This window comes from Homo sapiens, chromosome 6 (assembly GCF_000001405.40).
Source record: "Homo sapiens chromosome 6, GRCh38.p14 Primary Assembly".
Classification (NCBI taxonomy): domain Eukaryota; kingdom Metazoa; phylum Chordata; class Mammalia; order Primates; family Hominidae; genus Homo; species Homo sapiens.
The window spans coordinates 106,381,380-106,403,332 of NC_000006.12; the positions used below are offsets into that span (position 1 = coordinate 106,381,380).

The following is a 21,953-nucleotide window of genomic DNA, read 5'->3' on the forward strand; positions in this document are numbered from 1 at the left end:
AAAGCATTTTACCTCTTTGGAGCTCAGTTCTTTCAACCATGAATTCTAAGTGCTAAAAACCATATCCAGTGAAAGACAGTTTTACTGAGAGAAGGTTACCTAGGAGATTGGCATCTTAGGTGAGTTCAGCTAGAAGCAAACTCTATGACAAGGATGTAAGTATAGATGTAATTTAGGAAATACCTGTGGGAAGTGAGTAAGAAGCCAGCCAGTAAAGGGGAAATTATAATGCCAGTTTCCACTGTTGGTAAATAGAGGTTGATCCTCTTGGGAAATTCTGGATACCATTGCAGAACTCAGAACTATGCCGTCTTTGGGGAGAGGAGCTGGAGTATTAAAACACCAAGTTCTGCCAGTCATTGGTTAAGGGCCGATCCTGCAGGCACTGTTTCTCTGGTACTTTCTGCTTTGGGCAATGTGTGCTCCTGCTAGCCAGAAAGCCCCCAGGTGGTTGGAAGTCCAGTTGTCCCAGGCTATATTATCTTGAGGAGATATGGACAGGGCATGGACAATGTCTGACATAATCTAGTTACAGGGGTACAGCCAGAGTACATCTAAACTGCTAGACTATGGTGCACCAAGGGAAGATAGATATGCACTCACTTCTAGAAGGAAACACCTCTAAGAGACACTGAAGCAGTACACCAGGAAGCAATGAACAGTCCTCCTCAGCTGTGTCAGTTTCCTGTCTACCTCTAAACAAAGGCATGCAACAGCCAGGGAGGGGCAGGCTTCTGAGCTCTTAATAGCCTTAGATTTGGGAGGCCAGCCATGGGCATTGCAAAAAACATGTTGACAGTACACGTGTGGTCAGTAGTCAAAATTGCAGGGCCTAATTGCTGGCTACATCTAGGACATAGCACTTTAAGGGGAGTAGTATCCATGAGGACTTTGTTGATGCAAAGGGCAAAACTACACGGGGAATCTGATTTATTTTGTGGAAATTCTTCTTTTGATAGAGAAAGAAATTCTCTGGTATGTTGTAAAAGAATATTAGGAGATACAGAAATTTTTATTAGGTTTTATGGGAAATCAAACCAGTTATTAGCATCATTCCTGAAAGATTTTGAAACATCTGGACTTTGAAATTTTTGTTCCTTCAGTGTCACCAGTTTTGTGAAAACTCCCTATTGCTTTCTAGGTAAAGTTGGCTTCTAAAAATGAATTTTTTGGCCAAGCATGGTGGCTCATGCCTGTAATACCAGCACTTTGGAAGGCCAAGAATAAAATAAAAATAATAAAAATCAAATTTTCTACCAATTGCTCTTTATACAATGGAAAAGAATGTAATCTCTGTTAGAATTATAATTTTCTTTCATATTTTTGTAATAATTTTGATTTTATTTTTAATATTTATGCCAGAATCAAAAGCCAAGTGTTTGGAAATAGTTTCTGTGCTATTGGCATGCAAAAGCTAGCTTTGGATGATAATCCATACACTTGTGATTATTATAAAAAATTGTGATTAACTATAACATTACCTGATGAATCATTGTCCTTGAGTTAGACACATTGCAAAAGACAATTGTAATTAGAACATCATGACTTTATTATTATTAAGTAATCTGCTTACTACAAAATTATTGATATCTAAGTAGGGCTAATGGGAAATCCTGCAATTTTTTGTGTGTGTCTCTATATCCACAAAAGGCAAGTAAGTAATCAAGTGGGCAGAAAGACTCTTGAGGTAGCTTTTTCCAGAATGGAGGTAGTGAGTTCAACTTGAACTAGTCATGGAACCAGAATTTTAAAGATTTTTTTAAAAGTATATGAAGATATTACCTCATCTAGTATTTCTCAAAATGTGTTAAATATCCAAATCAAAATCACTCAGGTGTAAAAAGCAGATTTCTGTTCCTCTAGAAATTCAAATTTGACAGATCTGAGGTCTGCATCTTAACCTCCATAAGTAGTCGTTAAAGTTTGAGAACCAAGGATCTAGCCCAGTTGGGATTAGGAAACTGAAATCCCAAAAGGGACTTGCCAAGGGCACCAGGCTATTCAGTGGCAAAGCTGGGGCCAGAACCAAGCTTTCTCTAGTTTAATGTTCATAAATGCATGTCCCAAACTTATCCTTTGCTTAAGTGATGATAAGTAATCTTTTACTATAGAATCAAATACAGCAGATGTATTAAGTCTCAATCCTTTCATAAATGTAAATGTGTAAATGAAATTTACACAGACTAGAATAATAGAATAGTTTATAGTTTTGAAAGGCTGGACTTTAGTTCCTGAAAGACTGTGAAACAAAACAGACAAAAAGTGCTGGTATGAACAGATCGCTAACAAGGCTCCCATATGAATGTATCATATGATATGTCACACATGTTTTTCCTCTGATCAGTTCTTTATTTCCACATCTATTGCTCATATTTGGCAAGTTTGCAATAGATAACTTCCTCCTGCAGTTTTTCATATGCAATCTCCTAAGTGTTCCAATGTGAATACACTACTTAGAACCACATCGTTGATGACTATCTGGGCTGGTGAGTTTTTGAGATTAGTACATGGGGCTAGGGAAGTTATAATTGTGGTTCTCAACCCTGTGTGTGGCCAGTCAGCTTTGCACAGAGAGAAAAAAAGAAGCTTCCTTGTTCATAAACTGCATTTCTAACAAAGCAAGTCTTCCTGCAGATGTGTAGTGTTGGCCATGCAGGTACCAGGTGACAGCAGGTGTGAACTCAGCACAGCACATCACCTCTATTGAGGAGCAGCTTGCAGAGCACTTACTGCTGATGGTGTGAGGTCAGTGTCACCTTTGTTTAGGATGGAAAATAGCATGAGTTTAAACTGTGACCCAAAACAAGGCTACAGAGACTCCTCTTTGACCTACTGGCTTTCTGGGGACTTCCCATCGGTAACTGAGGCCCTGTTCTTTAGAGCAGTGGTCCCCAACCTTTTTGGCACCAGGGACCAGTTTCATGGAAGATGATTTTTCCATAGACCGGGGGAAGACGGGGACGGGGATGGTTTCAGGATGATTTAAGTGCATTACACTTATTGTGCACTTTGTCTCTCTTATTACTACATTGTAATATATAATGAAATAGTTATACAACTCACCATAATGTAGAATCAGTGGGAGCCCTAAGCATGTTTTCTTGCACCTAGATGGTCTCATCTGGGGGTGATGGGAGAGAGTGACACTCGAATTGCGTTGTTTATGTCCAGTCTACTCCGTAATCTCATTTTGCTTGCAGTCACTGAAGAAAACCCTGCTTCACAAAGATAGGATGTTGGAAATGGAAGCATGCTTCTCAGTGCTTTTGTGGCAATCTCAGAATATTCTGGCTTGATTCCATCCAGAATGTATGGAGATTTGAAGTTTTCTCATACTTTTAAGTATGTTAAGTATGTTTTAAAAGTAAAACATACTTTTAAGGCCACCCTAATTTGTGATCTCAAGCAGGTGATCCTCTTCTAACTCAGACAACATCAATTCACCTGGCTTATTCACAAATGGGTCACAGATACATTCTTCCCAGTTCAGGTGTCTTTTGTGTTTGGGGTGCAGTCTCTTTCAAAATCTCTGCTAATGTTTGAAACATGTCAGAAATCCCAATGTTCACTCATCACTCCCATAATTCCAGTTTGGCTTTGAATGCAGCCACTTTATCTGCCGACTTGAACATAGTTGTCATTCTCCCATGAAGTGACAGATTGAGTTCATTGAGCAGGTTGAATATGTCACACAAGTAAGCAAGTTTTGCCACTGATTCTGTGTCACTGAAATGTGCTGCCAGTGGTGACTATTTTTCTAAAAGAAATCCCTGAAACAGCTCTCATAACAAAAACTCTGGCCAGTGATCTACCTTTAGAAAACCATCTCACTTCTGTGTATAAGAGAAACGTGTGTGCTCTGCATCCATCTCCTCTCAGAGCTGCTCAAACAGACATGGGTTAAGGGCATGTACTTTAATGGTGGTTGATAATATTAATCACATCCTGCAAGACATTGTTAAGTTCAGGTGACAGTTTTTGGCTAGCCAGCATTTCTCTACTGGATAACACAGTGCATAGCCTCACATTCAGAAACAATCTCTTTGACCTGAGCAGTGAAGCCAGAAAGCCATCCAGTCATGGCAGCTACTCTGTCCATGCATATACTGACACAAAATGACCAATTCAGTTTTCCTGATACATAATCATTCAAAGACTTGAATAGTTCTGCAGATGTGATGTTGGTTGGTAATAACAGTGCACATAACATCTTCATGCACATCCTCCTGAAAACTATATCGCACAAAAACAAGAATTGTTGTTTCATTGTAAACGTCGGTAGACTCGTCAACCTGAATTGCATACCACGGTGACTCATTAATCCTCTCTAACAATTATGTTTCAATATCCTATTCATCAGTTCATCTAGTTATGGTGCTAGCCCAAAGAGGAACACATGCCACCTTTTGAACCACAGCCTCTCTTAAAAATTCATGACAAACGTTCTTAGCAGCAGGCAGGATCAACTGTTCACCAATAGTAAAGAGCTTCTTGGCTTTAGCAATGCAGTTAGCCACTAAGAATGATGCTCTCAGTGCAGGCCCATTTGATGATGTGATGGCCTTCAATAACTGCTTCTGTTCTTGGTGTTCACATTAAAACAAAACAAAACAACAACAACAACAAAAAACCTCCAAAGGCTCATCTTTTAATGCAGGGTACTTGGTCTCCACGTGGCGAAGCAGTTTTGAAGGTTTCATGGCTTCATTGGATAGCCAGTCACAACATATTATACAAAGTGGGCTTACAGAATGTGAATAACCTGTTGCAATGAACCTGTAACTTCAGTAGGACTCAGTATTTTCTTTTAAATGCAGCTTTCTTTTTGTTGGCAGTCTTATAGTCTTCTGCTGTCTAATCACTGGGTCTTTCCCCGTTTTTCAAAGAAGCTCTCCAGTGACATTTGTTTTTTACTAATTTTGGCTAAGGTTGGCTTGTGAGCTTACCAAAACTGTGACTGAGACAAGTGCGTAGTGCAGGAAAGAGGTGTGGACAGAAGTGGTAAATAAAATAATGGATAGGCTGTGTGTGGACTAAAATAAGTGTCAGATTCTGACTTAAAGCCTGCCACCAGTTGCAGCTTAATTGTCACTTGCCACTCACTGTTAGGGTTTTGATATGAGTCTGCAAGCAATTGATGTATTATGGTCTCTGTGCAGACCTCTCTGCTAATGTTAATCTGTATTTGCACCTGCTCCCCAGTGCGTGCATCACTGCCCCAGCTCCACCTCAGATCATCAGGCATTAGATTCTCATAAGGAGCATGCAGCCTAGATCCCTTGTATGTACAGTTCACAATAGGGGTCACACTCCTATGAGAATCGAATGCCACCGCTAGACATACCATCAAGAGGCAGAGCTCAGGTGGTAATGCAAGTGATGGAGATCGGCTGTAAATAACAGATGAAGCTTCGCTCACTTGCCTGTCATTCACTTCCTGCTATGTGGCCTGGTTCTTAATAGGCCCTGGACCACTATCCGTCCATGGCCCCAGGATTTGGGACCCCTGCTCTAGAGGAGACAGAGTTGAGACAGGGTTGATTTGGAAACAGGGTTGATTTTGACATTGCTTAAAGTAAAATTGAGACAATAGCTCGTATTTCATCTACTCTCTTTTCTTTTATTCTTGTAACTGTATCTTTAGTAAGGATTTCAAGGGATTTACCATGGAACATAAAATATAACAAAGTAGCATAATTTAAAAGTATAGTAAAACAAGGAAGAAAATATCCAGAGGTGGAACCCAAGTTAATAAGGAATAAGGCTAAGCCAATTGGTCATAATCTAGGATCTGATGTGCAAATTAATAAAATATCAGTATGAAGTTGTAAGGATTTATGGAACATATTGAATTATCAGAATTTCCATAGTAAGACTGTCACTGGAATTAGAAAATCTTTGAACTCTGAATGGAAAAAAATTTGTGATACAAATACTGGGAGAAGTGAGGAGGGAAAAGGAAGCTGAGGAAGGTAATCTTGTAACCTGCTTTCACACCCAGGAGAGATGGAAGAGACTCCGCTCCCCTCATGGGGTCTTAAGCATGAAAGGACTGTACGTCCCTCTATACTCACAGCCGATTCCTACAGGCACCATTGCTCCTCCCTCCTGCTGTCACCTCCCTGTCTCTTTTTTGCTCAACAGGTACTAATTACTTTTATTCTTGTCACACCTCCACCCTAGTAAGGGTTTTAGATACTCGACAGGACATTTGCTATCCATGCAAAGTTTTTTCTATTGCTGTGTACAATTCTGCTCAACCCCAGATGGATAGGTTTAACAACGGGTTAACTCAATTGGGTTGAGTGAGGGTAGGAAATTTTGTTGTGGGGAGGGGTGTCTCTAGCACTCTATGCTTGGTATAGTGCAAGAAAGGAGCTTTTTAGATTCTCATGGTAACAAAATTATGAAGACCCATAAAAATAACTCAAAATTATGAAGACCCATAAAAATAACTCAAAAATAGCTTTTTCCTATGTATTATCATCCATGAACGTCACTCGTGAATTCTCAGGTGCTCTAAAGATTATCAGTGACCTTTTATTCTTCCATTGGAGCAATTATTTCAGGTCCTGTCTGCTACTCTTTAAAACATTTATTGAGCCATGAGTGTGCCAGGTTAGGGCATTGGTAGGAAGGCCATGTGTCCTGGTTTATGCCTGTTTTCCCTCCACAGTTATTACTGGCACTCCCTTTGACTCTGAGCAGATCCTTGTTTGGATGTCTAGTTATGCCACCTCACCATGAACCTGGCTTGTGCTACGAATCCTTTTCAAGCTCCTGCTGCCACAATAGTAGAGGGGTAAATCACGTGCACTTCTTTTCTATGTATGTTGAAAAACTTCCTCAGAAGTCTGAAAATCACTGTGTAGATAGGCTTGCCATGTTCATCTTGGCACCTCCCAAATTTTCTAGGTCCTGAACTATCCTGGGGCTAACATCAAGTGTTTTGGCCATGCACTTATTTCATAAATTTAAGGAAAGAAGGAAGGAGAGAGTTGATCCCCTTTTCCACCTGCCCCTCCCTCTACCCCCAGCCCAGAAACTGTCTTCTTTATAAATTTTTGGCAAATGTTTTGTTGAATTGCCCCTTCTAACTTTATTATTAGCAACTTAAGAGCAAAGGCTCTTATGGTTTAATAATATTTTGAATATGTAATTTTATGTGTGTTAAAAAGTTTCATTTTAAGCAGGAGCCTCTTAAAAAGGGGAACATACTTCAGTTCTAGAGTAGAATTATAATTTCTGGCATCACTCCTCATTGTGCAGAGAAAAATATCATCTGACATATGACCTTATGAATTATGCTTTTTACTTTATAGGTTCCAGTTGGCAAGTTTATTTCTCAAGTTGTTTCTTTTTATGTACTTTGCTGATGATTAGAATAAGATGCCACCATATAAGAAACAATATTTTGGTTATCGCCATCTTGTAAAATCACTAGGTTTATATCAGAGGGATGACTAGCTGAGAGAAAGATCAGTGCTTTTTACAATATTATTTACTTTAAAAGACAAACAGAATTCTTTATCATGATAGCTAGGACTATTTTGTACTTTTAAACCTAAAGAGACTGTGCCTAAGCAGAGAAATTGACACTGGCATAAAGTCAGTACCATTTTCACCAGTTTTTTAATTGCCAGAGTCTAGTTTATGTTTATTTTCACCTAGTTATCCTCAGCTCAGTACTGAAGTGACACTTGGGATTAAATTTTCTTTCCCAAATCTTCCTTTATAGTTTCCTCTGTGACTTTTTATCATTTTGTAAATCTTTTTTTTAGATTAAAAATTGCTTTTTGTTATATGATTTCTGTTTGTTTGATTACTAGGGAATTAGAAAATTGCCGTATATATTTATTGGCCACTTACTTGTATTTATTCTTTTGTGGAATGTTCTTTTCCCATTTTAATATTGGTGTGTTTGTGTTTTCTTAATTGATTTGTAAGAACTCAGTGGTAAAATTAAATTGGGCACCCTTGATTTGGCTCGAGTTGGACAACATTATGCTTTTTCTTAAGATTATGAGTGAAACTAGTTTTCTTTTACAGAATTCAATTCTACATGTCCAATTAAAAATTTTTAATCAACCATAGTAGTGTTCCAAAATTTGTCAAAATTGATGTATTCTTTCAAAAATATACTATGAAATAAACAGATCAGTTGCATTAAAAAGCAAGGTGTTGATCTCATTTGTTTAGTTTGTCTTTGCAAGTCACATTTTAGAAAAATAGCAATTTTTTACCTCTGTCTCACAGATGAAGTGTGAGCTTTCTTTCCTGAGCAGAAATATGAAGTAACTTATATATGTTAGCTGGGTACTTTTGTCTGTGGGAGAGATAGTTGAGTCTTTTTCGGTAGTTGCTTTTATGGATATACTTATATATAATATAAAAGCATATTTTTATCACTTTATATATTTTTGCATATGTTTTGGTTCAGTCGACTCCTATAGTGAGAGGCAGGTTTCTGTTGTATTGTGATGTTTTAACTTTTTTCAGCTGCTACAACTTAAGCCCTTAATATGAAATATTAACTTTATTTCATAATAGCTATGAAAATATTTCGTTGTTCACCCTTTTGGCAAAGGATACTTTTTGTGTAAACCTTTGGAAAAATTGTTGTTTTTGTATGCCTATGCTGATTTTAATTGGAAATAATCCCTAGGTCTAGGTAAACAGTTTAATTAATTTTTTTGAACATTATTTTTCCAGGTTCCAGGCTTACAGTTTAATTAATTTTATCCATGAAGCCTGTTATTGTTCAGGGACAAATAGCATTAAGATGAATCATTTATAAAATGGAGCTGTAAAGAAAACTATGTTCTGATCAGAAATACCAAAGAACAAATATCGTATTGTTTGGAAATACTACTTGGTTTTAGGGACTTAGTACCAAAGCAGGAAATAGGATTACAAAAGTTACCATTGGTTCTTTGGCACTTCCTTACTAAATCACATTGTCTAAAGCAGTGACATGTTATAATAAATCTGATCTCCTCTCCCCTCCCCTTCCCTCCTCTCTCTCCCTTTTCTTTCTTTTCTTCTCCCTTCTTTCCCTTCTAATTGTGGTATATCTTACATAGAGCAAAATATAAAAATATTAAGTGTAAAGATCAATTAATTTTTACATTTGTGTATATACATGTAACCACAATCCAGATAAAAATATGAAACATTACTGTTACTCCAGAAGGCTCTCTTGTGCACTCCCCCTACGCCCCGTCATGAAAATAACTACCATTCTGACTTCCATTCACCGTAGATTAATTTTGTTCTTTTTCTTTTCATCTCATTGGAATCATATGATATGTGTCTGGCATCTTTCACTCAATATTATGTCCATGAGAGTCATTCATATTTTGAATAGCAATAGTTATTGCTATGTAATATTTTATTTTATGACTGTGTTACAGTTTATTTTATACATGCTATTACCATTGGATATTTGGGTTATTTCTAGTTTTTTACTACAGCATTATGAGAAAAGGTCCTATGAACATTTTCATGTGTGTCTTTTGGTGAACATAAGTATGTACTCATTTCTGTTGGGTATATACTCAGAATTTGAATTGCTGGGACATGGGGCAAACATATGCTTCATTTAGTACATACTTTCAGACTGTTTTCCGAAGTGATTGTATCAGTGTACACTCCTACCAACAGTTAGTGAAGAGTTCCAGTTGCTTGTCAGTTCTTTCTTTTTTTTGAGATGGAGTCTCGCTCAGTCACCCAGGCTGGAGTGCACTGGCGTGATCTCGGCTCACTGGTTCAAGCCAGTGAGCTGCCTCTGCCTCCCAGGTTCAGTCAATTCTTGTGGCTCAGCCTCCCAAGTAGCTGAGATTACAGGCATGCACCACCACACCCAGCTAATTTTTGTATTTTAGTAGAGATGGGGTTTCACCATGTTGGCCAGGATGGTCTTGATCTCCTGACCTCAGGTGATCTGCCCACCTAGGCCTCCCAAAGTGCTGGGATTACAGGCGTGAGCCACCGTGTCCATCCAGTTCTTTTAATTTTAGCTATTTTGATGTACAGTGCTAGTTGATAATGTATCTCATTGTGGTTTTAATTTCTATTTTCCTAATGACTAATGATGTTGGACAACTTTTCACAAATCTATTGGCCATTTGATATCCTTTTGTTGTACCTGTTCAAATATTTTGCCCATTTTAGAAACCAGACCATCAGTCTTTTTTTTTTACATTATTGATTTATAGGCATTTTGTATATATATATGCAAATATTCCATTTTTGAATTACATGTCAGGATCTTCTTAAAGGACTGCCTTATTTGTCTAATGCTTTTTGGCCACATGAAGTGAGCGGAGAGTGAGGGAGCTTTGCTGGCCCTGGGCCTAGGGGAAAGAAATACACAATGACTTTGGTGCCTGATATAAACTATACTGAAGCCAAGGGGCAGAGCTCCCCTCAGCTCTGCCAGCACACCACACTTGCTTCGTTCTTGCGCTCCAAATTCTTGTCATTAGAGGTGCTCCCACTGGCTAGATCACAAAAGTGGAGTCGTTTCCAAAAGCCTGTTGTTTAAAACGTGTGTGTGTGTGTGTGTGTGTGTGTGTGTGTGTGTGTGTGTGCGTGCGCGTTTCCTGAAAAGGGGCAGAAAGCAAGAGAGTTAATCGTCCCTCAGGAAAACGTGAGCAGCTGTGAGGATTCAGATAAGTTCATCATATTAGCTGATTATCACCCCTTAGAAAATGCAAAGAAGGCTCTCAGTGCGATGAGGTTTAGTCCCCGCGAATCTGTGTGGCTGTGGGAGTTACAATGGGGGATGGGAGAGCTTGGGGAATAAGTTGGGTTTTTTACCCCAATCTTTTCTTTGGCTTGTTCAATATATAAATTGCCCTTTGCTCCCCAAGCCTGCTTCTCCCCTGCCACATACACAATAGTGAGAGAGGAAAGCTACCCCATCATCTTGAAAAAGGCAACCGAATGAAAATGGGAATCTCCCGCTCTCCTCATCTATTATCTCTTCAGTGTCTGATTTCTCATCCTCTTTCTTATGTCAGGACAGAAAAATAACAAGACAAATAAAGAATCAGAGTAAAGAGGCAGCAGACTAGAGGTAGGACTTAGGGAGGCCCAGTGAAGGCAAAAGAGAATCAGGAAGGGAAAAGGACAGTGCTAAGAGGGGAGTGGGGGACACAGGAAAGAGATGGTGGAGGGAGATCTGATAGGACTGATACCATCTTGAAATTTTGAAAATTAAATTAAACAATGTGTTTATCTAAGATTAAATTTTTCTCTGTAATATAAAATAGCAAGAAGGAAGTAAAGGGATTATGACAATGAGATCTTCCACGAATAAATTTTACCATTGTGCAAAGGACAGCCGTGCTAAGAACTGTTCGAATTTTTGGTTATTTAAAAGAGAAATAATTTTTTTTTTGAGACAGAGTTTTGCTGTATTGCACAGGCTGGAGTGGCTGGAGTGCAGTGGCACGATCTCAGCTCACTGCAACCTCCGCCTTCTGGGTTCAAGTGATTCTCCTGTCTCAGCCTCCCGAGTAGCTAGGGTTATAGGTGCGTGCCACCACACTTGGCTAATTTTTGTATTTTATGTAGGGATGGGATTTCACCATGTTGGCCAGGCAGGTCTCGAACTCCTGACCTCAAGTGATCCGCTCACCTTGGCCTCTCAAAGTGCTGGGATTACAGGCATGAGCCACTGCACCTGGTAATACAATTTTTAGATTTCAAAACAATAAAATCTCTGTACTAGAATTTTGTTTATCCATAAGTCTTGTTTTAGTCCTAGAACATGCTGTTGGTTTCTAAATTGTAAACATTGGGCTAGCTCATCAGAGTTCTGAGATGGAACATGGAGGAGCTGTGGTACCTTTCTCTAAAAAGAGAAGGCCCGGTAACATGAATCAATGATGCACAGGGGGTCCAGGGAGTATGGCTGTCGTGCTCTCTATAGCCCATATAATTAGGGCACCTAGCACTGACCAGTATGCACCCGTGCAGCCTCACCATCGTTAAAGGGTTGTAACGCTAACATAGTGGTGAGCAAATAAGTTCCCTGGGGCATTCCTCCTACAGCCGGCTTCCCAGACTCCTCTGAACTTCCTTGGGCTTGCACTGCAGGGGGCACTTCCAGGCAGTGTCTGAGCCCTGCATGGGCAGGGATTGGATGGTGCACAGTCCATACCTCTGTTAAATATTTTGACTATTACCACTGCTCTCAGTTTTAAAGATGTATGATTCTTTGTTGACGTCTTCCATTTGTGGATTCATAAGGCTGTGTAATAGCTCCTTACTCTGTTTCTTCGTTTCCTCTTCCTTTTTTTTTTTTTTTTTAGGAGTCTTGCTCTGTTGCCTAGGTTGGAATGCAGTGGCACGATCTTGGCTCACTGCAACCTCTGCCTCCCAGGTTCAAGGAATTCTCCTGCTTCAGCCTTCCAAGCTGGGACTACAGCCATGTGCCACCATGCTTGGCTAATTTATGTATTTTTAGTACAGATGGGGTTTTGCCATGTTAGCCAGGCTGGTCTCGAACTCCTGACCTCAGGTGATCCGCCCACCTTGGCTTCCCAAAGTGCTGGGATTACAGGTGTGAGCCACCACCCCTGGCCTCCTCTTCCTTTTTTGTCTTGTCCTACCTTTAGACTACTGAGCAATAGCACTTTTATCAGAAATTGAATGAAAGGGTATACGGCCAATACTGGATTTCAGTACAGCCTAGAATAGTCTGTCACTTCTAATCCATGCACTTAAAGTTTATCTAGGCTGCAAAGCTTTAGGTACACTTGATTCAGGTGCCCTGACATCATATTTCTTTGGAGTTTCTGAATGTAGCTTATTAATAAATGTCTCTACATCGTTTATCCTTGTCCTCTTTACCCTTATATTCTTAGGTTTTCCAAGGGTTCTGAAGGAACATATTTCATTTTTCTACCTTTCTTATGATACATATACAACAGTGTCTTACACTCGTGAGTGCTCCGTGACCCATTCAATGTCTAATTAATGTCTGTATTTTCTGCGTCATGTTCATTTCCGTTTATCACATATACTTGAGAATTTATTGTAAAAATGCTTTTTCTTGCACATCTCCAAGCTTCTCTAATGTTCTTGTGACATTATCTTAAAGTTGTTACTAAGGGATTGTTTTAGAGGCTGAATTCTAAGTAAACCGAACATGAGGGCACATTGACTTTTATTCCCAGCATTGTTAAGCAAGAAAGGAATAAAGTGATTCTAAAAGTTGTTTCTGAAATATAAGCTTGTTTTTGAAGGTAACACAGTTTTTAAACAAGTATGTTAAGTTTGTTTCATAATAGTGCATTGGAGTTAAATGAACCATGTAATTTCTGCTTGTGGATGTTAAGTTAGAACACAAACATTGAGGAAAGCTTGACAGGCTTAATCTTTCAAAGAAGAAAAGAAGAATATCCTTTAGTAGGTAGTGCAGTGCCTTAGAGAGGTTTTAACAATAGTGTGTTAAATGCACACAGCAGAATTTTTTTTTTTTTTTTGAGACAGTCTTGTTCTATCACCCAGGCTGGAGTACAGTGGTATAATCTCAGCTCACTACAACCTCTGCCTCCCGGGTTCAAGTGATTCTCCTGTCTCAGCCTCCCAAGTAGCTGGGATTACAGGCATAAGCCACCACACCTGGAAATGTATATATATATATTTTATAAAATTTCTACCGTCTTTCAATTTTCAAATGTATTAATGTAATATTTTTATTATTTAAAAAACTGCTTCTAGGCTGGGCACAGTGGCTCATGCCTGTAATCCCAGCACTTTGAGAGGCTGAGGTGGGCTGATCGCTTGAGCTCAGGAGTTTGAGATCAGTCTGGGCAACATGGTAAAACTCCTTCTCTATAAAAACAATTTTAAAAATATAAAAAAAATAAAAAACTGCTTCAGTTTTTATACTTAGGTTTCTCTATTCTTAATATTTTTCATTTACTTTTCCTCTCATTCTTTTTTATTTTATTAATTTCTGATCTTATCTTTATATTTGCTTCCTCCTCATTTGTTTGAATTTATGCCATTATTTTTGTAGCTTTTTGAGTGAATGCTTAGCTCATTAATTTTCAGTTTTTCCTTTTTTAACATATATTCGTTTTTCAAATAAATATGTATGTATATATTTTAATGCTATATCTTCTAGATATTGCTTTATCTGCTTACCTTTAATTTTGTTATATAGTATTATTATTTTTGTTTAATTCTGTTTTACAAATTTAATTATGATTTCTACTTGGACCATGAATAATTTAAAAGTGAGATTATGGATTTTCAGAAGTATAGGATTTTTTGGTTTGCTTCCTTAAGTGGTGATTTTGCCATCCCTGAAGGAGTCCCATCTATTTGAGATCAATTTTTATATTAATCCTCAGTTTGTGATTATTACATTACAAAGATACTATATATTCAGACCCCATATACATATATATATATAGATTTGGGGTCTAAATCACTCTTTGGCATTTTATTTTTTGTTGGAGAATTTCTTCTCTACCCTGAGCTCTAGGCAAATGACAAGCCCTAGGCAAATGATAACACTTAGCTGAGGCATTGGTCATGTTTCCGCTTCCATTTTCATGGAGGAGATAACCCATCCCTGGATCCAACCGTATGAAAGGGTCTTATTTCCAGCTCTCTGCCTTTCATGATCCCAGGGCTATGTCTCTGATCCCTTCATAGGCATTGAAGTCCTAGTCCCTAGATATAAGAGCTTATTTCTGGATCTGCTATTTTACTAGGATGCCTAAGTGCCAGCTTGTATACTCATTGCTTAGCTTTGAGTATTTTATTTCTTATGCCAGGGTAATTTTTTTTCCTTTGAACTCAGCTATGAATTTTAATTTATTATGTTTTATTTCACATTTCTTGTGTTTATAGTGAAACAGTATCAACCACTGATTAGTCTCCCAGCATCCTTTCCAAATAGAATTTTGACTACTGTTTCAGTGTAAACACTGAATGAACTTATAAATTCAGTGGAAAGCAAATTCTTTCATAAACATCATGAATTACAGTATTATCATCTATATGTATGACTTCACCAACCTCTAGCAAAGGAGAATTCTACAACTTTTGCTGGAATATGTAATTTCATTTCCAGCATTTCAAGGACTCATTTATTCTTTATGACAAACTTAGCACCAGAGATAGAAAAACCAGCACGTAAAATCTCTGGCATACCACTCTTAGCATGGAGTAAGAGGAGAGGTCAAGTTTAATGGTTTTGCTTCTTGACCACATGTACAGACTGTGGACTTTCTGAGGACCTGTTCTACCAGAAAAACAAGACCTCAGGGCAACACCTGCTATTGAAACATAGAAATTTGGAGTCTTGCACTGTTGCCCAGGCTGGGGTGCAGTGGCATGATCTCTGCTCACTGCAACCTCTGCCTCCCAGGTTCAAGCAATTCTCCTGCCTCAGCCTCCCAAATATCTGAGGTTATAGGTGCATACCATCACACCCAGCTAATTTTTGTATTTTTAGTAGAGCCGAGGTTTCACCATGTTGGCCAAGCTGATCTCGAACTCCTGACCTTGTGATCCACCCGCCTTGGCCTCCCAAATTGCTGGGATTACAGGCATGAGCCACCATGCCCAGCCAATACATGGATGTTTTTGATTGATTACGTCATGGTATGTAGAGACATCTAAACTAAAGTTGCTGTGACAATTACATGAAGTCATAATATTAAGAGCTATATTTTTCCAAGTGTCTTTTACCAATTCTTTTTTCTTTCCTCAAGCTTTACTAACGTGTAATTGGCAAATAAAAAGCATATATGCTTAAGATACACAACATGGTGTTTTGATACAAGTATATATTGTGAAATGATTACCGCAATCAAACATATTTATCACCTCACATAGTTATCTTTTTTGGTGTGTGGTAAGAACATCTAAGATCTGTCTTAGCAAACTTCAAGTATGCAGTATAGTATTGTTAATTATAGTCACCATGCTTATTATAATGAATTAGATCTCTAGAACTTATTCATCCTGCATAACTGAAACCATTTTATTTTTAATATGTGTGTGACTATAGACTCAAAGAGAACTTGGAATCATTGTTTTAGAAATTGCATCAAATAAGACAAACATGAAGTAAGAGGTTAGGAGCTTTATGGGTTGGGCACTTTTAAGGAGCTTGGTTCAGTTCAGTGCTTCAGCATAATCTTTCTATAATCCTCAGCTTTAGCTCCTCATCTCTGATAAAGGGCAGGGTGTGACCAAGGAACACAGAGTTCAGTAGTCAGCACATTATTCCCAGACTGAAATGGTTTAGGGTCAGTGGAAGGCTACTGCCTCTGTGAAACCAGCGGGGCATATCACCACTAACTCCATGACTACTGAGTGACAATCTCTGCATTTGGAATGTTTCTAACAAGGATTAACATAGAGATATGTTAGTTAGAGATAAACTATAATGGTCACCTATTCCCTGTACGCTTCCAGGAAATCCTATATTTTTACCTTTTGCTGGCATAAATGTGGGAATTTGAGCTGCAGTATCTCAGTGTCAATGGAAACTATGGATATTGACTATCTCTGTATCAAATTTATATGGCCCCACCTTCTTTAGCCCTCAGTGTCATCAAGGGAGGTACTCATCTTATAGTTTATCAATAAGTACCAAAATACATTAAGTACCAAAATATGACACAATAAGTACCTAAATCGCTCTCACTGAGCTATTACACACAATTGCTTTCATTTTTTTCTCCAGGAAGTTTTGAAGTGCAATATATAGATTGAATCCTTGCCCGTCTTCTCTGCTTTTAAAGGTTCTCAGATCTACCAGACATGGGCATACTAAATGGAGAGAACAAAATAACAATTTCAAAATCCAGCAAACCGGCCAGGTACGTTGGCTCACGCCTGTAATCCCAGCACATTAGGAGTCCAAGGTGGGAGGATGGCTTGAGCTCATGAGTTCAAGATCAACCTGGGCAACATGGCAAGGAGGCTGAGATGGGAAGATCGCTTCAGCCTGGGAGGCAGAGGTTGCAGTGGGCTGAGATCGTGCTACTGTACTCCAGCCTGGATGACAGAGCCAGACCTTGTCTCAAAAAATAAATAAATAAATAAATAAATAATAAAATCCAATAAACCAACAACCGGTGAACCAGAAGCCAATTCAGTAATTGGTAGCAAAAATCTATTCTATAAAATATACAGGAAGTACATTCTTTTGAACTAGAAGGTCCCCCAAGTATTCAAACACTTCTGTTAGGAGGCCTTTTTTCTGACCTCTACGCTGTCTTGAACTCTTATTCATTCATTTCCTTCTCCAGCTTCTCAGTGCTGGAATGTTATCTTTTCAATGTGATCTTTTCTATGAAATCTTTTTCGTTTGCTCCAATCAAAATCAACCCCCTTCTTCTCTTTTTCATATCTTCTTAGTCCCTCTGTCACAACTCCCACAATGCTTTCTTTCATGTTTGTTTATAGGCCTGTTTCTCTCCACCAAAGCCTAAGTTCCTTAAAGACAAGTGCCATCCTTTTATCCCTGATGCCTCACATGACATGTGACACATAGTATGTTTCCCATAAAGATTTGTCGAGTAAATAAATGAAGGCTGGGAAGTAGTCCTCTGGTGAAATATGCCTTAAGTGCTTTTTAACCAACATGCTATTAAGAACTACAGTTTACCTTTCCATTAAACCTTCTCAGTGAGGAAGTTTGCCCAGAGAGCCAGTTTATTTTGCATAGTAGAAGGTAACAAATATATACCAGTACTTGAAAATTCCAATTTAATTTCAGCCATTGAAGAAGCCTGATGAATCCCACTTCCTGTCAAAACTGCTTCACCTCAGAAAAACCTTTTGGTCAGCCCTTTGTTAATTTTGTATGCAGAAAATCCTGACATAAGCCACTAAATCCAACAGTATAGTCAGTTTTTTCAAATTGCATAAAATAAATTTCAACTTTCCACCCTTTAATCATATAAGTTATCATTTATCTCATGCTTTAGTTTGCCCTTCTAACTTTCTACAGCAAAAAGATAACTCACTACTTTATAACTTATTTGATGCCCTTGTTATATCCCAATCATTAAATGTCAATAACTTAGTTCACATCTCTGTTAGTGTTGAACTTGCCAAGAATATCCATTTGAACAACTTTCTGGATGCGTGACATAGGTATGTTAAAAACGTTAAAGGCCATATGGACCTAGTGAAGGAAACTTGCAGTATTCTCTTATGGCTTAGTAAGAACTTTTCTGTGTGATAACTTCAGTCTGGGTTTTCCGATCGGTCCTTTTTTTTAGTTTTTCTTTCTTTTTTTTTTTTTCTTGAGACAGGGTCTCACTCTGTTACCTAGCCTGGAGTGCAGTGGTGTGAACACAGCTTACTGTAGCCTCAAACTCCTGGGCTCAAGGCATCCTGCCACCTCAGCCTCCCGAGTAGATGGGACCGTAGGCATGCACCGCCATGCCCAGCTAATTCTTTTACCTTTTGTAGAGAAAATATCTCCGGCCGGGTGCGGTGGCTCACACCTGTAATCCCAGCACTTTGGGAAGCCAAGGCAGGCAGATCACCTGAGGTCAGGAGTTTGAGACCAGCCTGACCAACATGGTGAAACCCCGTCTATACTAAAAATATAAAAATTAGCCAGGCGTGGTGGCACATACCTGAAGCCCAGCTACTCGGGAGGCTGAGGTGGGAGAATCGCTTGAACCCAAGAGGCAGAGTTTGCAGTGAGCTGAGTTCGTGGCACTGCACTCCAGCCTGGGTGACAAGAGTGAGACTCCATCTCAAAAAAAAAAAAAAAAAAAAAGAGAGAGAGAAAAGGTCTCCCCATGTTGCTCAGGCTGGTCTCAAACTCCTGGGCTCGAGTAATGCTCCCACCTTGGCCTTCCAAAGTATTGAGAAGACAGGCATGAGCCACCATGCCCCACCCAGATCTGCCCTTTAAGATGCAATATTAATTAAATATGTTCACTTGCACATATAATGATAGACATTGTCAAATCTTACTTGAGACAATGCCCTTTTTTCTTTATCTTTAATATTAGTGTAATTGTGCTTATGTTTTCTTCATCTTTTCTTTTACTTTATTGGATCTTAGCAATGGATGAAGAAAATATTTCAGAAGGATAGGAATAGAAACAAACAACAGAAGCCTGGTCAGAGACTAGGCAGAAAATTTGTAAGTGTTATGGAAAGATTTGCCTTGGTGTTGGAGGAAACTGAATGACTTAACAGCCTTTTAAAGGGAGACTCTATAAATATTCAGTAAATCTTCATAGTATACAGAATAAACCCTAGTAAGTATCAGGCACTATACCAGAAGTAAGAAAAAATGAATATGATACAATTCCTGCCTACTTGGACCTCATAATATAGTGAGATAGACAGACACTATTTATAATGCCAGAAGAAAATTACAGCACCTACAGTGTCAATGGGGACAGAGAGGAGGGTGATCAGTTCTTTAAAGGAAAGTCAGAGGTTTCACAAAAGACACATGTGAACTAAGTCGCAAAGTAGGTGCAAGATCGTAGAGAAGGGTAAGAGGAAGAGCATTTCAAGCAAAGAAAGCAATGTGACCAGAGCAATGAAAGTGCACGGGCTTTGGGGAGCCGTCTTTCTTGCCAGCTAGTTGAGATACTGTCAGTGGCCTAGTGTGCTATGCTCTGATGAGACAGTGTCCAGCAGACACTATATTTCCTCCTGCAAGCTCCTACATCATCCAATGGCTTTTGGGTCATAATTGAATTTTCACATAAAAGGAAGTGCAAAAGGAAGATTGTCATTCTTCTTGATACTAAATCTAAAATTATGAAGATCCTCTTACCCGTTTTCAACCTACAGAGCAAATAATAGAGTTGGATTCATTTTTTAATGAGTGACTCTTAAGTAAGGACTGGTGAATGCTTTGGACTTTACTTATATTTTGTACGGATTATCTACTACAGAGAGGGTATAACCTTCATTCAGATTCTGAGAATTTCTCGTCATATTTTCTATTATTAGTGATATCTTTATTTTCTTGTTTGCTGAATGATTCTTTTTTTTTTTTTTAATTTTCTTTTTTTATTATACTCTAAGTTTTAGGGTACATGTGCACATTGTGCAGGTTAGTTACATATGTATACATGTGCCATGCTGGTGCGCTGCACCCACTAACGTGTCATCTAGCATTAGGTATATCTCCCAATGCTATCCCTCCCCCCTCCCCCGACCCCACCACAGTCCCCAGAGTGTGATATTCCCCTTCCTGTGTCCAAGTGATCTCATTGTTCAATTCCCACCTATGAGTGAGAATATGCGGTGTTTGGTTTTTTGTTCTTGCGATAGTTTACTGAGAATGATGGTTTCCAATTTCATCCATGTCCCTACAAAGGACATGAACTCATCATTTTTTATGGCTGCATAGTATTCCATGGTGTATATGTGCCACATTTTCTTAATCCAGTCTATCATTGTTGGACATTTGGGTTGGTTCCAAGTCTTTGCTATTGTGAATAGTGCCGCAATAAACATACGTGTGCATGTGTCTTTATAACAGCATGATTTATAGTCCTTTGGGTATATACCCAGTAATGGGATGGCTGGGTCAGCAAAGTCTCAGGATACAAAATCAATGTACAAAAATCACAAGCATTCTTATACACCAACAACAGACAAACAGAGAGCCAAATCATGAGTGAACTCCCATTCACAATTGCTTCAAAGAGAATAAAATACCTAGGAATCCAACTTACAAGGGATGTGAAGGACCTCTTCAAGGAGAACTACAAACCACTGCTCAAGGAAATAAAAGAGGACACAAACAAATGGAAGAACATTCCATGCTCATGGGTAGGAAGAATCAATATCGTGAAAATGGCCATACTGCCCAAGGTAATTTACGGATTCAATGCCATCCCCATCAAGCTACCAATGACTTTCTTCACAGAATTGGAAAAAACTACTTTAAAGTTCATATGGAACCAAAAAAGAGCCCGCATCACCAAGTCAATCCTAAGCCAAAAGAACAAAGCTGGAGGCATCACACTACCTGACTTCAAACTATACTACAAGGCTACAGTAACCAAAACAGCATGGTACTGGTACCAAAACAGAGATATAGATCAATGGAACAGAACAGAGCCCTCAGAAATAATGCCACATATCTACAACTATCTGATCTTTGACAAACCTGAGAAAAACAAGCAATGGGGAAAGGATTCCCTATTTAATAAATGGTGCTGGGAAAACTGGCTAGCCATATGTAGAAAGCTGAAACTGGATCCCTTCCTTACACCTTATACAAAAATCAATTCAAGATGGATTAAAGATTTAAACGTTAGACCTAAAACCATAAAAACCCTAGATGAATGATTCTTTAAGAGTCACTCCGGATCATTCAGAGAATGGTGGAGACATGTCAGGAAGGGTGACCCTGAGGAAATGACCACCGAGCCCTTGATCTATGGCCTGAAGGAATGATAATTAGCTCAACAGTGTGCAGGATGAGTGAGGGGAGGGTGGGGGAAGAATGCAGCCATGTGATGAGCACAACCTCCGATGGCATGGCACATGCTGGATTTAAGGACTGAAATGTAAGCTCTGTGAGGGCAGGAAACTGGTCTGTTTTGTTCTCAGGACCGTCTCATGTATCTAGAACATTAACGCACAGCAGCTTCTTAATGAAAAGATGTTTGTTGAGGAGGAATTTAAAAGGTTTTGGCTGGGTGCAGTGGCTCACACCTGTAATCACGCCTTGGGAGGCTAAGACGGGGGAGGATTGCTTGAGGCCAGAAGTTTGAGACTAGCCTGGGCAACAAAGCCAGACGCCTTCTCTTAAAAACAAACAAACAAACAAACTGGGCACAGCAGCATGTGCCTGTAGTCCCAGCTACTCAGGAGGCTGAGGTGGGAGGATTACTTGAGCCCAAGGCTACAGTGAGCTATGATGGTTCCACTGCACTCCAGTCTGGCTGACAGAGCAAGACCCAGTCTCAGTA

General features: G+C 39.0%; 1 protein-coding gene across 2 annotated transcripts in view; it reads left to right on the forward strand.

Annotated features, from left to right (window-relative positions):
- Positions 1–21,953, forward strand: part of CRYBG1 (crystallin beta-gamma domain containing 1) — a 211,301-nt gene that overhangs the window by 20,663 nt on the left and 168,685 nt on the right. The window contains exon 2 of one of the 2 annotated variants that reach the window (XM_047418270.1): positions 16,782–16,859. The exons of the other annotated variant lie outside the window; for it this stretch is intronic. Within the exon in view, the coding sequence (XP_047274226.1) occupies positions 16,782–16,859 (78 nt within the window). The remainder of the gene's footprint in view (positions 1–16,781; positions 16,860–21,953) is intronic. 2 annotated transcript variants of the gene reach the window in all.